This window comes from Homo sapiens, chromosome 7 (assembly GCF_000001405.40).
Source record: "Homo sapiens chromosome 7, GRCh38.p14 Primary Assembly".
Classification (NCBI taxonomy): Eukaryota; Metazoa; Chordata; class Mammalia; order Primates; family Hominidae; genus Homo; species Homo sapiens.
In genome coordinates, this window is record NC_000007.14 from 36,117,139 (window position 1) to 36,125,978 (window position 8,840).

The 8,840-nt window shown below is 41.9% G+C and overlaps 2 annotated features.

Annotated features, from left to right (window-relative positions):
- Positions 2,590-3,125: an enhancer, noted in NCBI's record as "H3K4me1 hESC enhancer chr7:36159338-36159873 (GRCh37/hg19 assembly coordinates)". NCBI's record gives its function as "activates a minimal SCP1, AML or CMV promoter by ChIP-STARR-seq in primed H9 embryonic stem cells {active_cell/tissue: H9 hESC(primed)}" and the evidence as "EXISTENCE:reporter gene assay evidence [ECO:0000049][PMID:30033119]".
- Positions 3,126-3,660: an enhancer, noted in NCBI's record as "H3K4me1 hESC enhancer chr7:36159874-36160408 (GRCh37/hg19 assembly coordinates)". NCBI's record gives its function as "activates a minimal SCP1, AML or CMV promoter by ChIP-STARR-seq in primed H9 embryonic stem cells {active_cell/tissue: H9 hESC(primed)}" and the evidence as "EXISTENCE:reporter gene assay evidence [ECO:0000049][PMID:30033119]".

Consider the following 8,840-nt stretch of genomic DNA (forward strand, 5'->3'; position numbering starts at 1 on the left):
GCTTTATTTCCTGTCAACAGGAAGTACTGATTGGTCTGTAGATCAGATTTTTTATAATGCTGATGATTAAAATTTTGAAACGAAGTGTTTCCTAAGAGTTTCAGTCTTAGGAATGGAAACAGAGCCTAGAAAGAAGGTTGTCCACTTTTCATGGATGATGTTGGGGGCTGAGGCTTCAGTGTCACTGTCCTGTTGGGAGTGGCCGGAATCGCTCAGCATTTCACAGGCTTCTCCTCTATTGGTGGAAGAGCAGACGGGAGAGGTTGGTAGAGCGCTGGGGTATTCTAATGACAGATTCAGAGGGGACTGAGCCAGGGAGCCCAGAGCAGAAGACTGTTGAAGGGAAATTAGGAGAGAGAATTAGGCAGGTATTCTCCAGTGGTCACGTTATTTTTAGATCTCCAAATGATGGAGCTGGAATGGGCCATTTGAGGCCTGCTGGTTTGATCCTCCCTGGTTACAGAGGAGGAAACAGTGGTTCAGAAGGTCTAAGTGACTTGCCAGGTCTCCCCTTCCTGAGCTCTATGACTCTGCTTCTATTTCAGCTGGTCTTGACTCCAAGGGAATCTCTTGTGTGTATTTTGGCCCTAACAAATACCAGGACTGGTTTTCTTTAAAAAGCTTTCTTCATGGGCACTGTTAGTCTCATGCAGTTTTAATAGAAAACTGTCTTTCTATTTTCCAGCACCATTAGTTGCTATGAGCATAAACTTTCATATTTAATGCAGCATGATTCACAGCGATGCTCCATTTAAAAATGGGAGAACCTCTCCTCTGGCAAAAATTAGAAGAGAAAAACTAAATGGGAATAGGAAACAATCATTTCTAAAAATATGAATAAAAAGAAATATCGATTAGTCTTTCATTTACTTAAAAGCATAGCTGATTGGACCAAATATTGTTGAAATTCAATTTCTGCACTTTATTCTGAATATTTCAGACCTTTTCGCCCTCTACATAACCACTAGCTCTTCCAGAGCAATTCAGGGACTATGTGTATGGGGAAGGAGCTAGAAAAGTTGTGAGAAGAGAAAAGGCAACTGTCCATACAAGCCCGAGGATCTTTTTAGCCCCCTTCTTCTTTGGGGAACACTGAGATAAGAAGCCTGCTCCCCACTCCCAACCCACAGCTAGTGCTTCTCTGTTCACATTTGGTTAACTCATACCCGATTCATTCCTCAGGTGCATCAGGTATAAATACGAGAAGTTATCCCTGATGCCCCCATGCACAGTTAGCTCTGCACATCCTCCCACTCCCTATCTGCCCCACACCAGCTTCTCTGTCACAGTTGGGTCACAATTTGTCCCTGGATCTCCTGCCCCACTAGATGGTGAGCCCCTCCCCAGCAGCCATAGGACATATTCATCTATGCATTCCACAGAATGGACCCTGGACTCACCATTCCCAGGCATCTGACACAGACACAGGTACCAATAGCACTCTCTCCAAGGAGAGCCTAGCCATGGGCAACGGAACAGGCTGAGGGACAGGGGCTTCCCAGGGCCCCCCTAAAGATCACTGTGGAGCCTCCTGGTACCCACCTGGAATAACTGTGAGAGCCAACATCTGTGGAGTGGTAACCATGTGATAGCCACTGTGATAAATGCACCACCACCCTAAGAGGATAGGGCTATTTTTTTTTTTTTGACAGTCTCACTCTGTTGCCCAGGCTGGAGTGCAGTGGTGCCATCTTGGCTCACTGCAACCTTCACCTCCCAGGCTCAAGTGATTCTCCTGCCTCAGCCTCCCAAGTAGCTGGGATTACAGGGATGGGCCACCATGCCCGGCTAATTTTTTTTTTTTTGTATTTTTAATACAGATGAGGTTTCACCATGTTGGCCAGGCTGGTCTTGAACTCCTGACCTCAGGTGATCCACCCACCTCAGCCTCCCGAAGTGCTGGGATTACAGGGGTGAGCCATAGCACCTGGCCGGGGCTATTGTTCTTATTCCCACTTAACAGACTAGAAAACTGAGGTGCAGAGTGGCTAGGGAAGTTGGCCAAGGTCTTAGGGATATTAAAAGGGTGGTGTCAGGATAAGGACCGGGGCTGTCTGGCTTCAGAGTCCACGCTTGTAACCACTACTGAGACTGCATCAAAATGACACATGCAAACTGTCTGGTGCAATTATAGCTAGTGTTAGCAAAGCTATGGGGAAACCAGAACATCAAGTCACTGGAGGTGGGTGTGGAAGTTGGTATATCCATGTTGGAAAACTATCTGGCAGTTTCTTATAAAGTTAAACATACATATTGCCATGCAACCCAGCAATTTCACTTCTAGTTATACACCCAAGAGAAAGGCGTGCATATAGCTGCTGAAAGACACATACAAGTATGACCTCATGTTCATAGCACTATTTCAAAAGCCAAACCCTGGGAACCAATCCAAAATCCACCAACAGAGAATGGAGAAGTAAAGCGTGGTATAGTTATGCAGCAGAATATTGCACAATGGTGACAATGAACAAACTACACAAGCAATAAGGATGAATTTCAGTGTTGAGAGAAAAAGAAGCCAGACACCAAAAGTGCATTTTGCATGTCCATTTATATAAACTTTAAAACACTCGAAGCCAATCCATGTTGTTGGAGGTCAGAGTGGTGGGTGTCCTTGGGATTAGTTCCTAGAAGGGGGCACATGGGAGATTTTTGGGAGTGCTAGTAATATCTTGCTTTTTGATCTAGGTACTGTATACAGGTATGCTGCTTTTATGAAAATTCATCAAGCTATTCCCTTATGAACTGTATGCTTTTATGCATCTATGGTTTGATTGAATAAAAAGTTTACTTTAAAAATAAAATGTCAAGAGTCGCTTCCAAGATGGCCAAATAGGAACAGCTCCGATCTACAGCACCTAACGAGATCGATGCAGAAGACGGGTGATTTCTGCATTTCCAACTGAGGTACCTGGTTCATCTTGTTGGGACTAGTTGGACAGTGGGTGCAGCCCATGGAGGGCGAGCCGAAGCAGGGCAGGGCATTGCCTCACCTGGGAAGTGCAAGGGGTTGGCGGATTTCCCTTTACTAGCCAAGGGAAGCCGTGAGTGACTGTACCTGGAGGAACAGTACACTCCTGCCCAAATACTGTGCCACTGCAACTGGCAGACCAGGAGATTCCTTCCTATGCCTGGCTCAGCAGGTCCCATGCCCACAGAGCGTTGCTTGCTGCTAGCGCAGCAGTCTGAGACCGACCTGGGAGGCAGGAGCTTGGTAGGGGGAGGGGCGTTTGCCACTGTTGAGGCTTAAGTAGGTGGTTCTATGCTCACAGTGTAAACAAAGTGGCAGGGAAGCTCAAACTGGGTGGAGCCCACTGCAGCTCAGCAAGGCCTACTGCCTCTCTAGATTTCACCTCTAGGGGCAGGTCATATCTGAACAAAAGGCAGCAGATAGCTTCTGCAGACTTAAATGTCCCTGCCAGACAGCTCTGAAGAGAGCAGTGGTTCTCCCAGCACATTCGAGCTCCAATAACAGACAGACTGTCTCCTCAAGTAGGTCCCTGACCCCTGTGTAGCGTGACTGGGAGACGCCTCCCAGTAGGGGCTGACAGACACCTCATACAGACGGGTGCCCCTCTGGGATGAAGCTTCCAGAGGAAGGATCAGGCAGTAATATTTGCTGTTCTGCAGCCTCTGCTGGTGATACCCAGGCAAGGAGGATCTGGAGTGGACCACCAGCAAACTCCAACTGAACTGCAGCTAAGGGGCCTGTCTGTTAGAAGGAAAACTCACAAACAGAAAGGAGTAGCATCAACATCAACAAAAAGGACATCCACACCAAAACCCCATCTGTAGGTCACCAACATCAAAGACCAAAGGTAGAAAAAACCACAAAGATGGGGAGAAACAAGAGCAGAAAGGCTGAAAATTCCAAAAACCAGAACACCTCTTCTCCTCCAAAGGAACACAACTCCTTGCCAGCAAGGGAACAAAACTAGAGGAAGAATGAGTTTGACGAATTGACAGAAGTAGGCTTCAGAACGTCTGTAATAACAAACTTCTCTGAGCTAAAGGAGCATGTTCTAACCCATCACAAGGAAGCTAAAAACGTTGAATAAAGGTTAGACGAATGGCTAACTAGAATAACCAGTGTAGAGAAGAGCTTAAAAGACCTGAGGGAGCTGAAAACCACAGTACAAGAACTTCGTGAAGCATACATAAGCTTCAATAGCTGATTTGATCAAGTGGAAGAAAGGATATCAGTGATCAAAGATCAAATTAATGAAAGAAAGCGAGAAGATAAGATTAGAGAAAAAGAGTGAAAAGAAATGAACAAAGCCTCCAGGAAATATGGGACTATGTGAAAACACCAAATCTACATCTGATTGCTTTACCTCAAAGCGATGGGTAGAATGGAACCATGTTAGAAAACACTCTTCAGGATAAGTATCCAGGAGAACTTCCCCAACCTAGGAAGGCAGGCCAACATTCAAATTCAGGAAATATAGAGAACACCACAAAGATACTCCTCAAGAAAAGCAACCCCAAGTCATATAATTGTCAGATTCACCAAGGTTGAAATGAATGAAAAAATGTTAAGGACAGCCAGAGAGAAAGGTCGGGTTACCCACAAAGGGAAGCCCATCAGACTAACAGTGGCTCTCTAGGCAGAAACTCTACAAGCCAGAAGAGAGTGGGGGCCAATATTCAACATTCTTAAAGAAAAGAATTTTCAACCCAGAATTTCATATCCAGCCAAACTAAGCTTCATAAGTGAAGAAGAAATAAAATTCTTGACAGACAAGCAAATGATGAGATTTTGTCACCACCAGGCCTGCCTTATAAGAGCTCTTGAAGAAGCACTAAACATGGAAAGGAACAACCAGTACCAGCCACTGCAAAAACATGCCAAGTTGTAAAGACCATTGATGCTATGAAGAAACTGCATCAATTAACGGGCAAAATAACCAGCTAACATCGTAATGACAGGATCAAATTCACACATAACAATATTAAACTTAAATGTAAATGGGCTAAATGCTCCAGTTAAAAGACACAGACTGGCAAATTGGATAAAGAGTCATGACCCATCAGTGTGCTGTATACAGGAGACCCATCTCACATGCAAAGACAAACATAGGCTCAAAATAATGGATGGAGGAAGATCTACCAAGCAAATGGAAAGCAAAAACAAACAAACAAACAAAAAAAGCAAGGGTTGCAATCCTGGTCCCTGATAAAACAGACTTTAAACCAGCAAAGATCAAAAGAGACAAAGAAGGCCGTTATATAATGGTAAAGGGATCAATTCAACAAGAAGAGCTAACTATCCTAAATATATATGCACCCAATACAAGAGCACCTAGATTCATAAAGCAAGTTCTTAGAGACCACAAAGAGACTTAGACTCCCACACAATAATAATGGGAGATTTTAACACCCCACTGTCGATATTAGACAGATCGACAAGACAGAAAATTAACAAGGATTTCCAGGACTTGAACTCAGCTCTGGACCAAACAGACATAATAGACATCTACAGAACTTTCCACCCGAAATCAACAGAATATACATTATTCTCAGCACCACATCGCACTTATTCTAAAATTGACCACATAATTGGAAGTAAAACACTCCTCAGCAAATGCAAAAAAAAAAAAAGGGAAATCATAACAAACAGTCTCTCAGACCACAGTGCAATCAAATTAGAACTCAGGATTAAGAAACTCACTCAAAACCACACAACTACAAGGAAACTGAACAACCTGCTCCTGAATGACTACTGGGTAAATAACGAAATGAAGGCAGAAATAAAGATGTTCTTTGAAACCAACAAGAACAAAGACTCAACATACCAGAATCTCTGGGACACATTCAAAGCAGTGTGTAGAGGGAAATTCATAGCACTAAATGCTCACAAGAGAAAGCAGGAAAGATCTAAAATCGACACCCTAACATCACAATTAAAAGAACTAGAGAAGCAAGAGCAAACAAATTCAAAAGCTAGCAGAAGACAAGAAATAACTAAGATCAGAGCAGAACTGAAGGAAATAGAGACACAAAAAACCTTCAAAAAATCAATGAATCCAGGAGGTGGTTTTTTGAAAAGATCAACAAAATAGATAGACCACTAGCAAGACTAATAAAGAAGAAAAGAGAGAAGAATCAAATAGACACAATAAAAAATGATGAAGGAGATATCACCACCGATCCCACAGAAATACAAACTACCATCAGGGAGTACTATAAACACCTCCATGCAAATAAACTGGAAAATCTAGAAGAAATGGATAAATTCCTGGACACATACACCCTCCCAAGACTAAACCAGGAAGAAGTTGAATCTCTGAATAGACCAATAACAGGTTCTGAAATTGAGGCAATAATTAATAGCCTACCAACCAAAAAAAGTCCAGGACCAGACAGATTCACAGCCGAATTCTACCAGAGGTACAAAGAGGAGCTGGTACCATTCCTTCTGAAACTATTCCAACCAATAGAAAAAGAGGGAATCCTCCCTAACTCATTTTATGAGGCCAGCTGATACCAAAGCCTGGCAGAGACACAACAAAAAAAGAGCATTTTAGGCCGATATCCCTGACGAACATTGTTGCAAAAATCCTCAATAAAATACTGGCAAACCGAATCCAGCAGCACATCAAAAAGCTTATCCACCACAATCAAGTTGGCTTCATCCCTGGGAGGCAAGGCTGGTTCAACATATGCAAATCAATAAACATAATCCATCACATAAACAGAACCAATGACAAAAACCACATGATTATCTCAATAGATGCAGAAAAGGCCTTCAACAAAATTCAACAGCATTTCATGCTAAAAATCTCAATAAACTAGGTATTGATGGAACATATCTCAAAATAATAAGAGCTATTTATGACAGACTCACAGCCAATATCACACTGAATGGGCAAAAACTGGAAGCATTCCCTTTGAAAACCAGCACAAGACAAGGATGCCCTCTCTCACCACTCCTATTCAACATAGTATTGGAAGTTCTGGCCAGGGCAATCAGGCAAGAGAAAGCAATAAAGGGTATTCAACTAGGAAAAGAGGAAGTCAAATTGTCTCTGTTTGCAGATGACATGATTGTATATTTAGAAAAGCCCATCTTCTCAGCCCCAAATCTCCTTAAGCTGATAAGCAACTTCAGCAAAGTCTCAGGATACAAAATCAATGTGCAAAAATCACAAGCATTCTTATACACCAACAACAGACAAACAGAGAGCCAAATCATGAGTGAACTCCTATTCACAATTACTACAAAGAGAATAAAATACCTAGGAATACAACTTACAAGAGATGTTAAGGACCTCTTCAAGGAGAACTACAAACCACTGCTCAATGAAATAAAAGAGGACACAAACAAATGGAAGAACATTCCATGCTTATGGATAGGAAGAATAAATATTGTGAAAATAGCCATACTGCCCAAGGTAATTTATAGATTCAATGCCATCCCCATCAAGCTACCAATGACTTTCTTCAAAGAATTGTAAAAAACTACTTTAAAGTTCGTATGAACCAAAAAAGAGCCCACATAGCCAAGACAATCCTAAGCAAAAAGAAGAAAGCTGGAGGCATCACGCTACCTGACTTCAAACTATACTACAAGGCTACAGTAATCAAAACAGCATGGTACTGGTACCAAAACAGATATATAGACCAATGGAACAGAACAGAGGCCTCAGAAATAACACCAGACATCTACAGCCATCTGATCTTTGACAAACCTGACAAAAACAAGAAATGGGGAAAGGATTCCCTACTTATAAATAGTGCTGGGAAAACTGGCTAGCCATATGTAGAAAGCTGAAACTGGATCCCTTCCTTATACCTTATACAAAAATTAAGTCAAGATGGATTAAAGACTTAAATGTAAGACCTAAAACCATAAAAACCTTAGAAGAAAACCTAGGCAATACCATTCAGGACATAGGCATGGGCAAAGACTTCATGACTAAAACACCAAAAGCAAAGGCAACAAAAGCCAAAATTGACAAATGGGATCTAATTAAACTAAAGAGCTTCTGCACAGCAAAATAAATTATCAGCAGAGTGAACAGGCAACCTACAGAATGGGAGAAAATTTTTGCAATCTATCAATCTGACAAAGAGCTAATACCCAGAATCTACAAAGAACTTAAACAAATTTACAAGAAAGAAAGAAACAACCCCATCAAAATGTGGGCAAAGGATATGAACAGACACTTCTCAAAAGAAGACATTTATGCAGCCAACAGACATATGAAAAAATGCTCATCATTACTGGCCATCAGAGAAATGCAAATGAAAACCACAATGAGATACCATCTCACACCAGTTAGAATGGCAATCATTAAAAAGTCAGGAAACAACAGATGCAGGAAACAACAGAGGATGTGGAGAAATAGGAACTTTGGAGAAATAGGATGTGGAGAAATAGGAGCTTTTATACTGTTGGTGAGAGTGTAAATTAGTTAAACCATTGTGGAAGACAGTGTGGCGATTCCTCAAGGATCCAGAACTAGAAATACCATTTGACCCAGCAATCCCATTACTGGATACATACCAAAGGATTATAAATCATTCTACTATAAAGGCACATGCACATGTATGTTTATTGTGGCACTATTCACAATAGCAAAGACTTGGAACCAATGCAAATGTCCATTAATAATAGACTGGATAAAGAAAATGTGGCACATATATACCATGGAATACTATGCAGCCATAAAAAAGGATGAGTTCATGTCCTTTGCAGGGACATGGATGAACCTGGAAACCCTCATTCTCAGCAAAATATCACAAGGACAGAAAACCAAACACTGCATGTTCTCACTCATAAGTGGGAGTTGAACAATGAGAACGCATGGACACAGGGAGGGGAACATCACACACCG